Source organism: Homo sapiens, chromosome 14, assembly GCF_000001405.40.
Source record: "Homo sapiens chromosome 14, GRCh38.p14 Primary Assembly".
Classification (NCBI taxonomy): Eukaryota; Metazoa; Chordata; class Mammalia; order Primates; family Hominidae; genus Homo; species Homo sapiens.
Window position 1 is genome coordinate 26950039 of NC_000014.9, and position 22691 is coordinate 26972729.

At 35.3% G+C, this 22691-nt stretch overlaps 1 long non-coding RNA gene across 2 annotated transcripts; it reads left to right on the forward strand.

The window, feature by feature from the left end:
- The first annotated feature begins 914 nt into the window (after positions 1-914).
- LOC105370419 (uncharacterized) lies at positions 915-21037 on the forward strand. Of its 2 annotated transcripts, none has more exons than XR_001750688.1 (3): positions 915-2680; positions 4039-4211; positions 17170-17662. It is a non-coding gene; the product is annotated as an uncharacterized LOC105370419 (long non-coding RNA). The 2 variants fall into 2 exon arrangements; XR_001750687.1 differs by lacking the exon at positions 915-2680 and adding an exon at positions 20780-21037 and having other exon boundaries at positions 3786-4211; positions 17170-17346.
- The last annotated feature ends 1654 nt before the right edge of the window (positions 21038-22691 follow it).

Consider the following 22691-nt stretch of genomic DNA (forward strand, 5'->3'; position numbering starts at 1 on the left):
GGTTGAACTAGTTTACAGTCCCACCAACAGTGTAAAAGTGTTCCTATTTGTCCACATCCCCTCCAGCACCTGTTGTTTCCTGACTTTTTAATGATTGCCATTCTAACTGGTGTGAAATGGTATCTCACTGTGGTTTTGATTTGCATTTCTCTGATGGCCAGTGATGATGAGCATTTTTTCATGTGTTTTTTGGCTGCTAAATGTCTTCTTTTGAGAAGTGTCTGTTCATGTCCTTCACCCACTTTTTGATGGGGTTATTTGTTTTTTTCTTGTAAATTTGTTTGAGTTCATTGTAGATTCTGGAAATTAGCCCTTTGTCAGATGAGTAGGTTGCAAAATTTTTCTCCCATTCTGTGGGTTGCCTGTTAACTCTGATGGTAGTTTCTTTTGCTGTGCAGAAGCTCTTTAGTTTAATTAGATCCCATTTGTCAATTTTGGCTTTTGTTGCCATTGCAAGTCAATCCTAAGCCAAAAGAACAAAGCTGGAGGCATCACTCTACCTGACTTCAAACTATACTACAAGGCTACAGTAACCAAAACAGCATGGTACTGGTACCAAAACAGAGATATAGATCAATGGAACAGAACAGAGCCCTAAGAAATAACGCCGCATATCTACAACTATCTGATCTTTGACAAACCTGAGAAAAACAAGCAATGGGGAAAGGATTCCCTATTTAATAAATGGGAAAACTGGCTAGCCATATGTAGAAAGCTGAAACTGGATCCCTTCCTTACACCTTATACAAAAATTAATTCAAGATGGATTAAAGACTTAAACGTTAGACCTAAAACCATAAAAACCCTAGAAGAAAACCTAGGCATTACCATTCAGGACATAGGCATGGGCAAGGACTTCATGTCTAAGACAAAATATATTAAAAATATGCACACACATTCTTTGACCTAGTACTTTTACGTCTTTCTGGGAATTTATACTGGAAGTATACTTACCTCTGTGCAAAATTGCAAATATATAAGGTAATTCATTCCAGCATTGCTTATATTAGGTTGAACTATGTAACATTGACATTGATGTGAATCAAAAATGGTTGAAGGCTGGCAGTTTCATATGATTCAGCCTATAATAGCAAAAGATTGAAAAAATCCATTAATACAGTGTGGTTCAAAAAAATTTGTTGTATCAAGGTAAAATAATAGCCTGAATATAATTAAGATAGTCTGTGTATACATCGATGAAAACATTGCCAATACATGTTGTCATGTGGATAAAAACAAAAGAAAACAACAATATTTTTAATAATAGAGATTATATAGTGTATTTTATGTAAAATGAGGGAAATGAATAATATTTGTCATATTTAATTGCATAAGCATAAAGAAACCCTAATATTTATAATAGTGGCTAGCTTTTGGAGGGAGGTGGGCCCGGGCTTCTGCAGATGGTCATAACTTTTGGAGGTGAGATTCACATGGAACTGTAAAATGTATGGCCATCATCAGGAAAGGCAACTGTGTGGATAGAGCCAAGAGTTCAATGGGAAAGGGAATTTGTACGTTGCATATGTTTTAATATGATTGGATATTTGAACTACAAAAATGGTCTACCTGTTCACAGATAAAATATATCTGGTATTTATTGTATAAAACAGTTTCTTCATGTTATCTGTGGGCCAGATTTTTCCTTATTCCTATAAGACTGTAATCTCATAACAGTATTAATACAATATTCTGATGTAGAGTTATTTTATAGGCATTATGAATCTGTAATGGATTAGAATAAAAAATATGTTTAGTAAGTATTTCTTTAACTTTTAAAAAATGTTTCCAGCAGGCTGCTTTGGTGTAATGATAGACGGATTTGGAGCCTCAGCTCTGCCACATATATACCTCCTTTGTGGGCTTTAGATAGCCAACAGTTCTCAACCTCCATTTTTCTTAGTTGCAAAAGTAGATTAATAGTTAAAACCACCATTAAATAAAATTTCTTTGTAAAATGTTTTGCATATCAAAATTTTTATGAAGTCAACATTTAAAAAAGTTCATTTTGAAGCATAAGTATTCATAATAATAGAAGTTATTGGGTTTTGCTATGTAGATAAAGTGTCCAAAAGAGTTGTGCTATGTGAACTGCCATATGTGTACAAAATAGAATCTTACAGATCCACAGGGAATTGGTCAATGGGAAGAAAATAGGGTAAATATGGGTGTTACAAAATGCATTAATGAACCACAGTACACTCCGGGCTGGGGCAGATCTTCTGCTTGTGTTTTCACCACCATCACCACCAATTACACCACAAAAGAAGCTATTACTTATTAAGTCCCAAATATTTGTTAGAGTCTGCGTGGCACGTTGTACTTATTCTATCCCACTTAACTGTTATAAAAACTCCTGTGAAATAAGTATTACTATTTCTATTGTACAGTTGCCTAACAGTGAATAGCCAGTTAAATATGTAAACAGGTGATTTAAAGACAGGTCTTTTTGATCCCAAATCTCAAATCCTTATTAATATTCCACTTTCTTTCAGACTTTAGTGGGCATTAACATATAACAGAAATGCAGATTTCTGGACGTTGCCTCAGAGATTCGGCTTTGCTTGGTCTGTACTGTACCATCTCTCCCAGCGGCTCTAATGTTGTTGGACAGTAGTTACTGAAAGTAATTCCATGCTATCCCCAACTCCTCTTGGCCTTCTTCTATAGCAGATAATCTGTAAGTAGCTCTGGCTAAGTCACTGTGTTTGCAGGAAAGATGGCTACCACGGAGCCATAGTTTATGCTTTGCTTTTGGTCTCTGGGTGTTCAATGTCAGCCTCTCAGATGATATTGTGGAGAAAGAGAAGGGGTCGTAGAATCCACCTTCTTTGTTGGAATGGAGGCAGAGAGGTTAGAAATAATCTGGGCAATCTGGGTTCTAAATCCATCCTGGAGATTGAACTTCAGGTCTGCAATAGGGTGTTACAATGTGTAGCTTCGAAAAAGCACAGTTTGGATAATTAGCCAGGTTTGCAAACAACTGGGATAAATGCTTTCAAACATTTTTTTTTCCTCACTGTTACATGATTAAGAGCCACATGGCAAATGTTTCCCAATTCAATGCTGTCTTATTAGGATAGCCATTTCTTCATATTCTCAATAAGTATTTTTTTTTGAATCCTTGTCTGTACAGACACAGAGAAAAGTGCATGGATGGCTGCAAATCTGGATCAGGCATATGGAAGATGAGGCATAGCCACAAATGCTGTGCACCACTAAGTAGAAAATTTGCTGAGAACCAAGATGCAATGAGGATGGGTGCTATAAGAAATTAGAAGAAGGGGGAGATCAGTGAAAGGATCAGGGAAACCTTCACAGAGAAAATGGTATTTGCAGGATGGATATGATTTTAACAAGCCAGTCTAAAATGGAAAGTAACAGAAGGCTAAAAGACTGCATGAACATATGTAATAAATATGTTGAGATTTGGCCAAAAATACTTTTGAATAAAAAAATAATGAATTTCCATGTATAAATGTCACATATTAAAATGTAATTAAATGAAATAATTTATACCATAATCAACTTAATACTAGTAAACACTGTAAATTAGACATACTAAAGAATCTAGAAATATAATAATAAACAAGATTCTACCCATATACAGGTCATTGTCTAATAGAATGCAATGCAGAAACTGCTATATATTAGAGGTATTTGTCAACTACCTGGGGATTGTTTTCAAAACTGTATTCCACAATGTATATATACTTTAAAACATAATGCTCTACACAATACATGTATATAATTTTATCTATCAATTTAAATAATAATAATAAAAATTAAAAAATAAACCTGTTTCCTATACAATACAAGGTGCCTGGGAATGGGCCTGGGAATTGTTTACATGTAATTAAAAAAAATTGCCTCTGGTCAATAAGTATGGGAATTGTTGGTTTAAACAAATTCAGTCAACTATTTTTTCTCTGTGACTTTACAGAGCCATTAATATTCTAAATGTATCATGCAACATTTGTCCAACTTCCTTCAACATGGTCTCCTTTTACTTCTTTATTATTATTGCTATTACTGTAGAGCACCTATAAACATCTGGAGCATTAATGTTCTGTTGAACACAGATTGGGAAGCTAAGTACTGGAAAACACAGCAAAGGAGTCAGTAGAGATATTCGCCAGGAAAGAGGAAAGAGTTATTTCATGGAAAGCCTTTAGCTTTTTTCTGTGAAAACTAAGGACAATTAAATGTAGGTAAGTTAGACTGTAAATAGCCATTGTAATAATAGTATACAATTTTATTTTATTCACAAGTTCTATATTATTTAATAATGTCATACATTGCATTTATTAAATAAAAATTAATCTGGTTCCTGTGAAATATCCTTTCTTTATATTCTAACTATGTTTCAGAAAGAGTAAAAAAAAGTCTGTTTACTGTGTAGTCATGTAGTTCCTACTGTCAAAGTGCGAGCATTTATTTCTCCAGAAAGCAGTATGTCAAGAAGTCCTGAAATAATCTGTGCAACAAACCTCTATGACACAAGTTTACCTATGTAACAAACCTACACATGTGCTCCTGAACTTAAAATAAAAGTTAAAAAGTAGAAGCATTGCACTGCAGATATATATTAAGTTTTCACAAAATATATGTACTCATTATGAAAAGTAAAGGGTCTTAAATATGGAAAATAAAGAGTTCCTATAGCCCTAATATTTATTTTGAACCTTTTCCCTATGGATGAGTGTCCTCAAATATTTCTAGACTATATAGACAAGTTAAAGGGAGACTATATTAAAAGTACTTTAAAAATTTAATTAGATTATTCTTTCATTATTTATTAAATGGCAGCACTGATACAGTATTTTCAAAGTTTTTTTTTAAGTCCATACAGATGAAAATATTCATGGAACTGTTCTTTAATCACTATAGGAATCACTCCCTCCTGGCATCCTTGGTTACTTACACATTGTCATTTTTGGTTGGAGTTAATTTTTGTCCCCATGAAATGGCTAACCAAGGTGTAAAAACATATATAAGCTAAGGGTTCTCTACTTACTATGTAGCTAAGGAGGTTGATACGCAAGAAAAATATTGTATTAATGACATATGGTCCAGATAAAGGAGTTTCTGAAATGGGTGTTAATATTGCCAACTAAAATAAAGTAAACTTGAATATAAAAAAAAAACAGGCCATTTTGAAAACCAAGTGATCAAGAAAATGAGGCTAATTTCCTTTTAAGTCAGAAGATACTAAGATTGTGCAGCTTTTCGGAGCAGATTTTATTGAAGGCCAGAGAAATGAGGATATTGTCTTAAGGTTATACAACATGTTTTTGAAAGAGCCAGAACTCAAATGCAAATTCCCTGTCCACTACTTTTTCTATTACATATATTCTCTCATCTTTTCTGATTTTCTAGTTTTAGACAGTTTATCAAATTGTGTCCTCTAAATTCTCTTTAGGGCAATGTTGTGCCAAAGGCTGAGTTGCTGTCATTTTCTTATGCTGCCTATCAAAAGAAAATAAAAACAAAATAGTCAGTATTTAGCACCTACTTTGGTGGTATCAGTATTTGAGGTTAGAATAGTATAATGTATTCATGGCCATGGTTTTCTCTGATGGTAGCACATATCCAAGTCAAAAATAGTTTGGCCCTGCCTTGACTGTTATAAAGTAAGTCATTATTTTTAAATAATTATGAATGCATTACAGCTTTCTTTTAAATTCTGTTAATTTTGATGCTTTTAAAATCAGCGACATAAATAATGTCCTAATACTTGAACTCTGGCTCATATATCCAGCTGCATAGTTGACATCTCTACTTGAATGTTCAATAGCTATCACAAAATTAACATATCCAAAACTTAAATCTTCATCAACTTGTCCTTCTCCCAATGTCTCATACTTTACTAAATGAGCAACCATTCAACCAGTTAGTTGCTCAGACCCAAAACTTGGAGTCATCTGTGATTATTTTCTTTCTCTTTTACCCCACATCCAAACTATCAGTAAGTTCTGTTGGCTCTATTGTCAGAAATTATTCAGAATCTAACTGACTTCTTATCATCTTTATCATTATCCTCCTTGTTCAGGCAGGAGCCATCACTGTCCATACTAGCGAAACAGCATGCTAACTGGGCCCTTTGCTTCTGCTCTTTCATTGCCATAACTTTTCTCCACGTTAGATACTTTGAACCTTGTAAAACTAAAATTGAATTATTACATTCCTCTTTTTAAACACCTTCCCAGCACACTCAGAATAAGATCCAAATTGCAAGCTCTTTTCTTGGCCTATAATATCCCATAAGATCTCAAGCCCTTTGTGTCTGTTCTCATCTCACTTTCCCTGTGCTCACTCACTTCGAGTTCCACTAGTGATCTTGCTAGATTTTGATCCTATAAGGCATACTACTACCTCAAGTCCTTTGCTTTTGCTCTTTCCTCCACTTGTAACACTTTTTCCTTTATTCTGTTCTTTTTTCAAATATCTCTAATTAAAAAATAATTTTCCTGACCACCTTACCTGAAATAATACTCTCTTGTACCCCTAAGCACTTACCCTGTTTTATTTTTCTTTATTTCTCTTAGTATCACTTAACATTATAATATGTGTTATATTGGCTATTATCTGTCTCCTTTACTTTTGTCTAGAGCAGTAAATAATTGCAATTGTTGGCTTTTCTATTGCAAGTTTCTAGTAAGTGCATGAGTTATGGGTGACATCTAGTAAGTATTTGTTAATAACTTGTAAATGTGAACAAAACTAGACACATACAAACATGGAGCTGTAGCTCTAATTCCTGTAAAGAACACTCGACTGAATCAAGGTGATCAAAAAGTCTTCCCTGGGAAGAGCATCTCTATACCTTGATCTAAGGGGACAATGCAGGCAGTTAGCTAAGTGAAGAGAAGAAGAGGAATCTTCTGAGTAGTGCAGTGTCATGCCAAATATAAGAGCCTAAGGCAACAAGGCCAGTGTGGCTGCACCAGAGAGATCAAGAGCATTCATGAGCAGAGAAGTGTTACTCACTGAGGGATGGAGAGGTAAGTAGGAGCTGGATCATGCAAAGCCTTGTTATGTGTGATAATCGTGCTGTTTTGTTGTAGCAATAGGAAGTCTTTTTGATGCTTTCAGTAGGGCATTGTCATGATCATATATATATATATTTTAAATATATATACTATATATACACATATATATTATATATATACATGTATATTATATATATACACATATATATTATATATATACATGTATATTATATATATACACATATATATTTTATATGTATACACACACATATATTTTATATATATACACATATATATTTTATATATATACATATATATATATTTAAAGGTGCGTGTGACCATGGTGTGAAATTTGAAATTTAAAAAAGTGAGTGAAAATCAACTAATTCAGTGGTGAGAGAAATCGTTGAGGAAAAAATTATCAATAATTTACCAAGGGGAAGGTGGTGGGAGCTGTTCGTCTTAGTTCTGGGAAATACAGGAGTGCATTGTTTGTTGAAAATTTAAAAAGAATAATATAACCAATTAAAAGCCAATTTTTTTTTTTACTATCAGAAAGTGCCAGTAATTCTAAACAATGTTAGCGACTAAATTAGTCTGTTAACTTGGCATGCCCTGGAAATAATAGATGATCATAGCTTGGACCAAAGATTCAGTCATTTATTCATTCAAAAATATGTTTAAGTGCCATCTATGTGACAGGTTGTGTTGTAGACATGGGAATGCAGTAGTGAACAAAAATTCTCTCCTGCAAGGAGCCTATATTTTTGTACAGGGAAGACAGACAATATTAAATACATGATTAGCATCTCCACTGGTGATAATTTTTCTTAAGATGCCCAAGAGGAAATTTTAATTAAGCACTTGGCTATAAGCTCCAAGTGCTGAAGCAATAGCTGGGCTAAAGATATAGTTTTGTATGTCATCTGTTGGTAGGTAGCTGCGATAATCATGCATGTAAAAAAAAAAAAAAGGAGCTTAAAAAAGAGCTTTCGAAAGAAGTGTGCAGCCGAGAGAGGAGTCTAAACCCTAGCATGTAGGAGATGCTCCAACATTTAATATTCAGGCAAAGAAAGATGAGCTTGCAAAGAAGATAGAGAAGGAGCAGTTAATTAGACATAAGAGCATATCAAAGACTGATGTAGTCATTATAAAATAATTAAAAGATCAATAGCTCAAAGAAACGTGGCCATAGTCCCAGTGCTTGAAGGGTGTGTTGCTTCTCACTTGGAAAATTTTGAAATTGCCTCTATTAAACATTTCTATTTTTCCACTAGAAAGATGGAGATGACTCTGGGATAGATAGGCTAATCTTTCCAAGACACCCATTTCCATATCACTCTCTTGCCAAAACATTTTTCAGTGGCATCTTTCTCATGGAATCAATTAGAAGTTCAAAGTTCTGACATTCAAGATGCCCCATGGTTTGGCCTAAACTTCTCTTTTCAGCTGTGACTTCTACTTACCCCTTACATGAACCTTCTGTTCTGGATCATCTAATTCTTGTCATTCCTGTTCTAGAAATTCTTCCCATTTTTATTCTTGGAATCATGAGGATGTTTTTTCAAAACTCTAATATGATCAAGGATGAAGGCTGTTAATTATGTGTTTGTGTCTACCACAACATCTAGCTCACATTTCTGTTTGTTCAGTAGTAAGTAGATCTTTACTGAGTGGATATTTCATGTCAGGTACTGCAAAGAGCCAAACAAATAGCTGCTAGCTGAACAACTGTAGTTCTTCTCTTTAAAGTGCCAGATGGCCGGGTGCAGTGGCTCACGCATTTAATCCCAACACTTTGGGAGGCTGAGGCAGGTGGATCACTTGAGGTCAGGAGTTAGAGACCAGCCTGGCCAACATGGTAAAACCTGTCTCTACTAAGAATACAAAAAAAAAAAAAAAAAAAAAAAATAACCAGGCATGGTGGCAGTCGCCTGTAATCCCAGCTGCTAGGGGAGGCTGAGGCAAGAGAATTGCTTGAACGTGGGAGGCAGAGGTTGCAGTGAGCCGAGATTGCACACTTGCATTCCAGCCTGGGTGACAGAGCGAGACTCCATCACAAAATAAATAAATAAATAAGCAAATAAATAAATAAATAAAATGAATAAAAAATAATAAAAAAAAGTGCCGGAATGAGCCTATCTTACAGAGCAGAGAGCTCTGGTGTTCAAGGTGATGGGCAATGACAGAGATGATCCCTAAGCTTATTTGGCTAATTTCATTTTTTTCTTGTTACTTACATAGCTCAGGTTAGTTTCAACACTATCACTGTTTTAAAGAAAAGAACAATTCCTCTTTTCCTTTTAAAATGATGAAACCTTAATATTTAAAAACCTCTCTGTGCAAGCTGTTGGTATGAAATATCACAACATCACATCTGATAGTTCAATTTAAATATTAATGAAAACCTTAAGCTTTATCTGGAACAGTTAATTTGGAATTTCAATTCATATTCACATCCTCGTGCAAAAAGAGGAGAGAGAGAAGAAGGGGGAGGCTGTGTGTTTTAAAGGATTTGTGAATAAGATTCCCCAACAGACACACTGTTTGCAGACAAAGCAGCACAGATGTTACTTGTCTGTCACAAGAAATGCCAGCCTATAATGAGGCTCACCTGATTTGGTGTGCGTGTGTATGTGTGTGTTTGTGTGTGTGCATGAACATGTGTATGACAAAGCTAACCTATTGCAAAGCCAAATAGCAAGTGCTTGCCAATCTGCCATATTCATACCATGTTGCATAGGAGAACACAGTAAAGAGAGAGAGAGGCAAGAAAAGGAGGCTCAAGTCTGAAATCCTGTTTAACATGGGGCAAAGCAAGTGTGTCTTTCAGATGATCTAAAATCTGCGAACTTATTTTCTGTTCGATAAAGCCCTCCAAAGTTTAATTATATACATATAATTGTAAACATTCACAAAGTGAAATTGTATATAATAAGTAAAAAAAAGTCATAGGTAAATGGCCATTTAGCAAATGTATTTCTGTGTCCCTGTGGATCCAGACATAGAAACAGCCTACTGCTCTTCAGTCTTTTTATGAATGCCTCCAAGAAAGCATTCTTGAATTTGGCTCATTGTGTTGTATGAACGGTGATTGATCTTGTCAGGCGAAAGTCAACCACACTTAGCCCCTTGCAAAGCAAACAGCACGGGCAATATCTTAGTCAAGTTCTCTTTGCTGCTGCTTCAGCTGTCAAAGTCACTGGTGCAATGCAGCATTCAAGGTAATTTCCATTTAGTGGTGAAAGCTGTTTTCTTCAATTTCTTGGCTTCTTTGTCTTTTCACTTGCCCCCTATCCATCTAATACCATTCCCGTGTCATTGGCACACTTATATTTACCTCACCTCGCTGATTTCTCCCCACCTGCGTGACATGCCTAGAGCCCCAGTGCTGCTGATGCATTATCCATCCAGGGCTTTGTTGTGTGGTGACATTCCAGAGCAGAGCTCAGCCCACGGGCATCTGCCAGTGCACAGGAACTCTCCTTTCTGGCAGTTATTCAGTTTGATTACACACGATAATAAGCTATTAAGAGGCACTCAAGCACGGCCCTTTATTTACCAACAGTGGAAATCCCCCCGTTTGCTTCCACTGTGTAAGAAAATAATTGTAGTGAAGTAAACAAAAGGGAAGGGCAGTCACCTGTGGTGGGAACAGTGCTACAGGGTAGTGAGTTTAAGTCTCCTAAATAACAAAGGTGTCAACAGATCAGTCACATCAATATTCAAAACTATCATGTAGATAGAGCAACTGGAAAAGAAGTATATCCAGTGTGTATGATCCCATAATCTAGTTTTCAGAAACGCTATTCCTGGTAGAAGTGGATGGTTTTTTATACAGTCACACCTTGTGAACAAAATGCGTATTAGGATATTGAAGAATGCTTGCACAAAGCAAGTTACCTGTAACAAACACTTTAACAACTATTGAAAATTCCATGTTTCCATTAATAATCCATAGACTTCTGCTTTATTAATTCGGTTACAAGTGTATTTTCTGTGTCAATATTTACAGCAAATAATGCATTGCATAGAAGTTCCTATTATTAACATTCTCAAACTCTAGAAAGAGTGCCATTGTGGACTGATGTGTGGAGTGCACATAAGTACCAGTTGTTTCTGGGTCTCTTTCCACTGGCAAATTTAAACAAGTAGTTTAAATTCCAAGTGGAATCATTTATCTGAGCAGCAAGCTATCTTTAACAAGATACCCTAAATTCTCTCGAAAGTAGTCACCTTAAATAATTACAAACATCCACTACAGAGAATTCTATCTTCTCTCTAATGCCTTTTTTTCCCTCCTATCTGCAATCCTATCACCCCTACCCTCTACACAGGCATTTTGGAGCCTGGAGGAAGAAAAAGGAAATTAATTTGTTTATCAGGTAGACTTGAAAAATAAGTGATTTTCCTTTGAAGGTCTCTTTCCTTCCTTTCACTGCATTGAATTTAGTGCCCTTCCTTCCCAACTTTTCCCCCACTTGTTAATACATTGCCTCCTCCCAGGGCAGCATCAATAAAGAGACCTAGAGATCCTGTTTTGCATTTGTTTACCCTCAGCCACAACTGGGAATATGATTCCTAGCAGCATACAATGAAATCTTGCTATTGTAGGGGGAAAACAAGAAGATGAAAACTGTGATGCTTATGGAGTTCACTGCAACAAGAATAGATTGAGCCCATGTGGATATATGCTTCACCTATGTATGTATTTATAAACTATTCTCTGTATGTCCATATGGGAAGTTGGTTGAATTACATGCATAGCCCATGCACTGTATGGAGGGAAAAATGTGAGAATAACAATACTAATTTTTTTTTACACACTCACAAGTGCACATAAGTACTAAGCTCGCATATCTATTTTCTAAGTATGTTTTCCAGTAATTCATCTAAGAAAGTCAGCAGGTGAGATAAATGTTTAGATATAAATAAAACTAGCTCTTAGAAGCCCATTTAGCTCCCTGCAAAAAACATCTCTAAACACACTGAGTATCTTCTCTAAGTAAGGCCTTCATCAAATCACAACTATAATTGGGTGGATACAAAAAGATAGGAATCTAGTTGGTAATTACAGAATGATTGTGGTGCCTACATGAAGTTTTTAGTCTGAACTGCCCAACTCCACAAACAAATATGTGAAATATCTAACATTTCTCAGAGAACTAGAATTAAATTGCTATTATTTTGGAAATGCAAACATTATTAATCTAGCAAATCATTTCTGAAAACCTATGAAACATTAAAATATGAGTACTGCAAAATTTGATACTTGGAAATCTTGGAAACTAGAGACAGATCCAAAATTACTCTGATGTTTGCAATTTCTAACATGATATAAAAATATTACCACCTATTGTTTAATTCCTTCTAAACCAAGATAAAGTAGATACTCCGTTGTCCAAATTCCTCCCATCCCAATCTTGTGATATTACATGTCCATAAATGTTACTCACAGTGGGCAGAATTTCTTGTCTCTGAATGTTATGTTGTTGTTGTTTTTGTTGTTTTTTTATTTGTTTTTTGTTTGTTTGTTTGTTTTGAGACTGAGTCTTGCTTTGTCACCTAAGCTGGAGTGCCATGGCACGATCTCAGTCCACTGCAAACTCCACCTCTTGGGTTCAAGCAATTCTCCTGCCTCAGCCTCCCTAGTAGCTGGGACTACAGACATGCATCACCACGCCTGGCTAATTTTTGTATTTTTAGTAGAGACAAGGTTTCACCATGTTGGCCAGGCTGGTCTCGAACTCCTGACCTCAGGTGATCCACCAGCACCGGCCTCCCAAAGTGCTGAGATTACAGGCGTGAGCCACTGTGCCCAGCCTGAATATTTTGTTTTACTATTAGAAATGATCCCAATTTATTTTATAATGCTTTTTACAATTAAATATTCCAAAAGTAGCTTTAAAATAAAGTAACAGCTTTATTTCCAGAAAAATATAAGTTCATAAAGTCTACCTTGTGTAAAATTCACAGAAACAAACCAATCCATTCTCCAAGTATTTTAAGAAATACACAAATTTTCAGAAACAAAAATCTGCATATATGAAAATCAAAGTGTTTTTTGTTTGTGATTGTTATGCAAACTCCAATTTCCTTCATTTCTGACCAAGAGAACATTCTTCTAAGTTTCATTCCAAATAGAAATTTCTTTCCTGATGGCATCATTTAATAAAGACCAGCTGTCATCCTTCAATCTAAGAGAACATTAAATCATACTTTCTGTATCTTAAAACATAGACAATCTTTTCAAATTGCAAAGTTCTCACAATTTAATGGAAATTTTAACTTGTTTGGCTTTGTGGGCTATTCAATAGTTTTCTAGGTAAGTAATCAGAGAAAATATTCTTGTGTGGTTTTGTGCATACATCATTTCAGCAGTGTAGCTAGCTCTAAAGCAGATAAAACTGGGGGAGAATAGTGAGTTTAACAATGTCAAAAAGCAATTGGTATTGGTAGTGGTATTGGTATCAACTTGTCTATTACAAAGACCACTCTATTAATATTCTTCTGTGGTGAAGACATTTAGCATTGTGAGAAATGGGATTATTACCAGTTATAGAAATCCAAGAGAAACCTTGGAAATGATTGTTTCTACTTTATCCTTTGGTAGTTTCTGTTACAACACTTTGTTCATTAAAATCAGATTCAATCATGACTGCTGCACTGATTTAAAAACATATCTTATGAAGAGTTCCTGCCTTTCCCAGGCAATTCCTGTTTCTAATAATGTCCTCTCCCTGTTGGTCCACTTGACATAGCTTACTCATCTTTCAAGAAGACCCTGCTCTTTGTGGTCTGTTGCGTAAAACTGCTGTCTTCCAATGCAGTTTAGCCCTCTCACTCATTAGGCTCCCACAGACCTTCGTCCCAGTTCTGGGAGAGCCCTGGCCCTGTTGCATAAGAATGATTTATCTTCCAGTCTGTGTTCCTGACTGGAATATGAGCTTCATAAGAGCAAGGATTATACCTTTTTCTGCCGCATAACCTCAAGCCATATCTGACATACAATGAAGTGCCCCAGGGGGATAGAGACGAGTGCTAGGGAAGTTTCTGTTTAAATGTACACAACAGCAACAAAAAATGTGTGACTATATTTCCTTCTCATTGTCTTTAAGCTCTCTTTGTTTGTTTGTTTATTTTGTTTGGAGGGCAGTAGTGTTTTCCAGGGAGGTTTAGAATAAATTGCAAGCTCCTGAAGGACAGGGAACTTGCTTGATTTGTTTCTTCTTAGAGCCCCCAAATACAAGTGGTCTGTGCAGTGGGCAGTGAGTGTTGAATCAACACTCCAACGCTCATTGCTCATCTTGAAAGTAGGTCATAATGTCAACTGAAAATAATATTGTCTTGTCAATTATAAGTGTTATAAAACAAAGATTCTCTTTATAAGTAAATTCACTGTCTGATATTAGAAAACAATTGAAGTTTAAAATACTTTTGCAGTGATAAGCCACAATTAAAGCAAATCAAATACATACACTAACAAAAGCAAAGACATTTATTGCCTCTTTGTTGTCTTCAAGGCATCCACTTATTCATTAATAAGTTCATTAATTTATTTCCTCATTCCTTTAGTGATCAATAATTATTACTATTTTAAATTATGTATACATAATAATTGTATATATTTAGGGTATATGTGAAATTTTGATACAAGCATACAACATGTAATGATCAAATTAGGGTTGTTGGGATATCCATCACCTCAAGCATTTATTATTTACAGGAGACCTATTGTGCAGGCACAATTCTAGTTTTCATGTGGTTTGCAGTGTAGTGATGAAGACAGACATTGAAGGGATGAATGGACAAATGATAATAAAAATAAAAATATAAAGAGTCCTGATTGCTACTGGAGAAAGTATAAGGGAACTCTCATCTTGTCACTGATGGAGGAAGATTGAGAGACTGGTGTAGAACAAGGAAGAAGTCCTTGAGGAAGTGTCACAGATGCCGAGTCCAGAGGCAGGAGGAGAGCTTGTCAGTCAAAGGGCTCAAGGGAAGGAAGAGAAAATGGTGAGGCAATGTTCTAATGCGTGAATGTGATTTTTATGTAGCACAAGGGCAAGGTAGGTGGATGTGACAGTGGAGACATAAGGAAGTGTAAATTGAGGATATACAGAGATAGGAGTCAAAGAAAAATGCTTCATGAAGTATTTATGAAGTTTTTAGTTTTTTTAATCAACATTTATATTATTAGTATTCTGAAAATATTTTAGGCAAGTACAAAAAAATCCTAATTTTTGATCTCAAAGAACTTTACATTTATTGTAATTATTCAGCCCTTTATTTATATGGACTGCTAATAATTTATTTTCCAGGGGTTATAAAAATTTGGGACTAATTAAGAAGGCCTGGCTCTCATGAATGGAAAGAGGTCAGTGAGTATAGTGAAAGCTTAAAGGGATGGAGCCTGAGCTAAATTGTAGCTACTCTCAGTGTACGCAAATTTCCAGACAAACACCACGTCTTAGAAGAGGATAGGTCAAAATCTACCGGCAAGTGGCGTTGGAAAATTGACCCTATTAGAAGGATTGTGCAGTTGGGTTCAGAAAATAGGAGCTCTCCCTGTAAACTCCTGAAATTAACTTCTCTACGTAGATTGCATAAGTGACAAGCTGCTGTCTTTTGCCATAGTGAAATGCAAAGCCTTTCTGTATCAACGAAGTCTAAAGCAAGGTGTATCACCATGGCAACCATAACTCCAATCTCAAGCCAGAAAATGGACATTTTTTTATGTGCAGAATTTTATTGAGATGGTGGTCTCCAGCAGTTCCCAGAGGTCTGGTGTCAAAGACAGGGTAGGAGTAAGTCGGAAGTCATTATATATTGCTTATCAGACTGTTACGTTGGTTGTTAAGCAGCATCTCTGTACAGCTCGTTTCCTCTACTTTATTCAGAGATGGTTGTCTGTCTGACAAGCATAGTTTTGGCATTATAGGAAACTAGTTAGCTACTGACAACTGTTGCCTCATGATTTTGACTTTCTGTGTTATCCTGAATTAATTGTAGGTGATTCTGTAAGATTTCTAGGCATTATCATTTATTTTTTTCAATGTTATTTATGAACACTTCAGGTAAAAAGTAAATACCAAATTTTTCATCTTGTTTGCCTAATTATTTGTTCATAAATAACAAACTGTAGGAGACTTAACATACCTGGAAGCTAGTTTGTGGCATATCTCCATTGCATATTAATGCATTCACTCTATTTATTAATATAGAAATAATATAAATTGATATTTGTGAGTGATGTTACTAAAAACCTTGTGGGGAAAGAATTAAAGAATTAAATAGCTATGATGCTGATTATGTAGCCTTCTGAAGAAATTAACTTTTTTCCCTCATCTTTTGTTAAATGCAAACAAAAATTTTGCAAAGATTTAATTTTTCACTTTGAATTAATGATATGCACACATCAAGAGACTCACAGAAAAAGCATATTGTTTTAAATCTTTCTTATTAGAAAATTTCAGATTATTTTTTCTTGTGTAGTTTCTAAGTTAAAAAAATGACTACTTATAAATTCATGAAAACCAGTCTTTCATTATGAAAAACCTGGAAATACTGGTCAAACATATTGAACAGCAAATGAGGATATTAACCACTTTTATATTAAGAATTTAAACAGTTTTGCTTCTTATTTCACATACACATAGACATAAATTATCTTAGATATCAATGATTTATTTTCTCAGCACCTCTGTTGGAGGAATAAAGAAAATAATATGAGCAACTTAATTCTGAGGAAAAGGCAGAGGAAGAGAAATCACTTTCAAATATTTTTTCATGACTAGAAGTTCCTCCTTTTATTTACATTCAATTTGCACTTGATTCCTCATTAACATATGCCTTTATTCATCTTTTCATTAGCAGGGAATCATAGCAACCTAGGAAGACACAGAAAGACATTGTAAGTTTTCTTACACAATAGATTGGAGGACAGAGTTGTCTTGTTTGTATAACTTTAGCCTTTTTTTATATTACTGAGGAGTCATAGAGCACTCTCACAGAGATCAACCCTGAATTAATGACGTTGGGATGATGAATGAGCAATTCATCTAAAGCTTCCTTTGGATAGGCAAACAGTCTTAGACGTGTGTGAACTACTCTCCAGGCAGCTGGGGAATAGGTCAAGTCAATGCCATTCTTTCCCTGAAAGTACTTTCTGTTCTAGGCATGAGGTCCTTTCAAGGCAGCAAGAAGTATCACATAGATGACTCAGCGTCATGCACAGGTGCTGGTTGGATTCAGTTCTTGGACCTGGGATCATAGCCTATTCAGATTATCAGTGAGATGTTAAAGAATTCCTGTCCAGGATCAAAAACAAAGCAGGCATTCTCTCTTTTTTACGGTTGGTTTTCCATGATCCTTTTAAAGTGCAAATTCTCTGTTTTCCTAAAATTAATAGTTAAATCACTGCCTTAGATTTTGACTTGTTAACTGTTTTTTTTTCCTCTTTGTGACATTACTGAACTATCTTACATAAGCTTGACTGTCCTGTCCTCATCTATAAAAATGAAGATCAGATAATCTAAGTCACAGTGATATTTCCAGAGTTAAAAAGATAACACGTGCAAAATTATTGCAAAATCTTTGGGATGTAGACAGTTAGTACTCTTCCAAATACATAAATCAGAAATTTAGCTCTCCTGAGTATTTTGTTTTTATTCTTCAACTGTTACTGGTAGATAAATTATTAAAGATTAAAAATGTAAAATTGTGACTTAACTAAAATGTCTATATGAAAAATTAGAACTTCATTAAAGAGTTTTAGATTAAAGATTTTATGATCTGCATCGGCAATTTCCTAATTCTATTATATTTTATAACCCTGCTTTAGATCAGTGAAGGATGTACATCTTCACAAGAGTACAGCAGAAGCTGGAAAAGTCAGAGGCTGAGTAGCATCTCTGATTCTTTAATATCAGGTCACTCACTTGTTGAAACCTTTCTTTGTCCTTGAGGAGTTAATTAGATTTCCCTTATTTCCTTTGCATTATTAAAGATAAATAATAATTGTAAATTGAAGAAGCACTTCTAGATCCTTTCATGGTGATGGATAATCATTCAGAGTATAAACCAAGTGTTTAGCCATTTGTAGACTCATAGTGCATTTTAGAAGTAAGTAGAAAAAAAACAAAAACAAATGCTCTGATGAGATAAAAGTTGGAATGTATTTTGTATCTTAAATGATATTTTTTATTCTTCTCATTTTTTGTATAGTTAGACATTTAATATAACCAAACTTATGTAACATGAGGCAGAGTGTGGTCTGAAATCTTTACTTCAAAGTTATTTTGAAAAAAAAATAGAGCCAGAAATGTCATTTTGAGGTAGGAGTAGTCCCTTAACTACTATTATTATATAAGCTTAATGCTTCCTAAAATTCTACTGTATCAGAACACCCAGAATAAATTAGTGCTCTCTTATTGGTGGCTTTGAGGTCTTGTACAACTAAATGAAATTTAATATCATCTAAAAATATCTTATTGTAATAAAGAAGTCAAGATCATAATTTTAGTCAGCATCATTCTAAGATCTGGCAAATGTTATCCAAACTGAAGGAGCTAATAATATGCATTTTTTTTTTTTTTTTTGAGACGGAGTCTCGCTTTGTCACCCAGGCTGGAGTGCAGTGGCGCAATCTCGGCTCACTGCAAGCTCCGCCTCCTGGGTTCACGCCATTCCCTGGCCTCGGCCTCCCTAGTAGCTGGGACTACAGGCACCCGCCACCACGCCCAGCTATTTTTTTTTTTTTTTTTTGTATTTTTAGTAGAGACGGGGTTTCACCATGTTAGCCAGGATGGTCTCGATCTCCTGACCTCGTGATCCGCCCACCTCAGCCTCCCAAAGTGCTGGGATTTACAGGCATGAGCCACCACGCCCAGCCAATAATATACATTTTTATCAAAGTATCACAAACTTATATTGTAAGGAACTGTCAAAACAAATCTTACATCCATATTCTAGTGGCTGCTACCCCGAATGTACTTATAAATCAAATTCTATGCCTTTTTTCTAATTTTGTTGTAAGCATTAATTGTTAAGTTATTGTCAAGATTGACTATGGTCATGAAATTATGAATCTTCAGGAAGATATTCTGGTACTTTACCAAGCTTTGCAATGAAACAAATCCTCTTCCTAATTTCCAGGAATACGTCATTGTTTTTATTTCTTCTCTTGTTTCTGAGTACTCAGTTTCTGAGTACAACACATTTTGGGGGAAAACTTTACAGTGCCCACTATGACTTACTTTAAGGTTAGTTTAGGGTGAAATCTGATTGTAATTTAATCACTTCAACTTTTCTTAAAATACAAAGACAAAGAAAAGGATAGTTGAGAAAATAAAATATTCCAAAAATAGTTTTTCATGGTGACCTCTTACAAGATCTTGCTAAATTTCAACTGTCAAGGAAAAACTAGTCAATAAAATGAATATAATATTAACTGACTGTTTCATTAATGTTTAAGTTACTATCTCAGTAACTTTTACTTCTTTATTCATTTGACATATATTCACTAAGCATTATAAGATGCTTATAATGCTTAGCCAAATGTTGTAAAATTTTAAGCAACTAATAGTTTTAGAGAGGAAGGATTAAGTTAAATTAAAACTTAGGGATATTTTATATAAATAATTCAAATCAAATCAAAATCAAAACTACTGGTAATAACATATGAGTCCAGAGAAAAGGGAAAGGGATTTCTGAAGAAAAGCCAATTGATGATGTGTCAGGTAAGTAAGGCTTTGAGAGAGTGAGCATGGTTTGTATAGGTAGAAGAGAAAGATCATTCTAAAAAAAAATGAGGCTGGGTGCAGCGGCTCACACCTGTAATCCCAGCACTTTGGGAGGCCAAGGTGGGCGGATCACGAGGTCAGGAGATCGAGACCATCCTGGCTAACATGGTGAAACCCCGTCTCTACTAAAAACAAAAAATTAGCCGGGCGTGGTGGCGGGCGCCTGTAGTCCCAGCTACTCGGGAGGCTGAAGCGGGAGAATGGCGTGAACCCGGGAGGCGGAGCTTGCAGTGAGCCGAGATTGCGCCACTGTACTCCAGCCTGGGCGACAGAGCGAGACTCCGTCTCAAAGAAAAGAAAAAAAAAAAAATGAGTAACATAAGTTGAAGCCTGAGAACAAGAAAGAGTGTGTTGTATTTAAGTGAGAGTCAGGGAACCATGATGGTCTTGATAAAATACGTATAGTATTATGAAATAGGGTCAGATAGAGTTTTGAAAGCCAGGCTGAGGTTGTAAAATTTATACAAGGACTAAGGAATTGGGGAAGTTTTAGGAGAAACCGTATTCTGCTGATGCTAGTAAAAATTGGTTCATTATTTCTGAAAATTTTTAAACCCTTTGACTCAAAATTGCCACTTTTAGGAATTCATCCTAGAGGAAAAAAATCAGAAGTGATTTAAAAACGAGTGCTCTACAATATTATAAATAATATTGAGAAACTGAATTTCAATTAAATGTCCAAAAATAGTGATACAGTTAAATGAATTAGAATACATCTTGGAACGTGAAATGCTCATGAAACCTCATGTTTTAGAAGATTATTTATCACATAAAAGTTTAATACTCTTTAGAAAATTAGGCTGAAAGCAGATACTGGTACTATTAAAAATATTATTTCTGGTTATCAGTTGATGAGGGATATGCGGGGTGATTCATTTCTTTGTTCTTTTCTGGATTTATAAACTTTATACATAGGGTATATATTATTTTGTACTACACGGTGTTTTTTCACAAAATAAATAACCTTGAAATAATTTTCCACAGGATATTGTCATAAAGAGCTCTGTATTTTAGGAAGGCCACCCGGTGAGAGTGTAGAGCTGAGATGAAGGGAGGCAGGAGCCATGTATTATAGAACTTATATTGAGAAGATATTGGAACTCAAGGAAAAGGTGGGTGAAGGAAATATGATTGGGATTTGATATTTACATGGACATAGGTATGAAGGAAAAGATTGTCAAAATTTGGAGCCTACAAATTTGATTGTAATAAAAGTCAGTTCTTTGAGTGATAAAAACAATAATGGGCCGGGTGCAGTGGCTCACGCCTGTAATCCCAGCACTTTGTGAGGCCAAGGTGGGTGGATCACGAAGTTAGGAGATCAAGACCATCCTGGGTAACACGGTGAGACCCCGTCTCTACTAAAAATACAAAAAATTAGCCGGGCTTGGTGGCGGGTGCTTGTAGTCCCAGCTACTCGGGAGGCTGAGGCAGGAGAATGGCGTGAACCTGGGAGGAAGAAGTTGCAGTGAGCCGAGATCGCGCCACTGCACTCCAGCCTGGGCGACAGCGTGACACTCGGTCTTAATAATAATAATAATAATAATAATAATAATAATAATAATGATTTTAGTATTGAACTGTTAAATTTTAAGGTGATGAGATTTGCTCAAAATATGGAGATGGAGCTTAAGTAGAAAAAAAAAGCAGAAGCTAAAATATGCATTTAAGGATCATCAAGTATTATGTTAAGCTATTGGAAATGATCAGTTACATAATGAAAAGAATGGATTGCAGAAAGAACAAATGCCAAAACCTGAGCCTTGGAGAATACTTTAAATCCAGAAATGGAGGATAATAAACAGCAAATAACCCAATGGAAAATGGTTAATTGGCAGTGCATGGGAGAAAAAAGTAATTCTCAATGTCATTGGAAAGCAAAAAAAGAGTAAGGCGACATTTCAAGGTGACGATTGTTAGTGTTGTCAACTATTGTAATATTTTGAAAAACATGTGGCAAAAAAGTCATTGCAATAGAATATTAATAGGCGATGAACGTGGGAGAAGCTCAGGTACTTCTCTGGTAACTGCAGACTTCAAGCTGGATTAAACACTACTGTTTAAAACTTGGGTGCAACACTGAGAAGCTGTGAATATTTGGAAATTGACTTCCACTACCGACCTATAGTCCATGTGCACGATGGCACCAATGAATAAACTGAATAATGAATGCTTTCAGTATTTTTTTTTCGGAACATAACTGAGATATAATCAAGAATTTCACGAAGTGTTCTGAAAAAAAAAAGAAAAAGAAAAAGAAAAAACTCCAGTTCCATGGGACATTACTAGTGTGAGAGTTACATGAACAAAGTATTCTGGAATAAAATGACTTTGGGAAACTGAGTTATACAAAGTTGAGAAAATCTCTTCTTTAAAGAAAGTCTTTATGTGATGTTAATTATTTTAATTATTTTTGTATACACTGTAGATTTCAGATAATAAGCTTTTGGAACAAAGTGATTCCTAAAATTAACTGTGACTAGAACTCATTTTTTCAGGCACTATCTCTCAGACTAGTTTTCTGTTGACTGGACAGTGGGAAATGATGATAGACTACTGTTGTGAGAAGCTTGGCCTTCCCCCTTGTCCCAAGGACTTCCTATCCTACAGCTTCAGGTTTTATCTATGCTTAGAACAATGGAAATGCTAATTTACTGTTCATTGTAGGCTATCCTCTTCATCTTTCTTCACACTTTTTATTTGCAATCACTTGGTAAAATATTCTTTAGAAGAGATACCTGTAGCCAACATAAGACTGGACAGATGCTATCCTTTTCTTCAAAAATAAAACATGACTTTTGATCTTTGACTATATTGAGCATTTCAGTGCTTTCCTTGTGGAATAGGTATCATTCCACTATAGTACATATTTTAATAATAATGTAAGAAAATTATT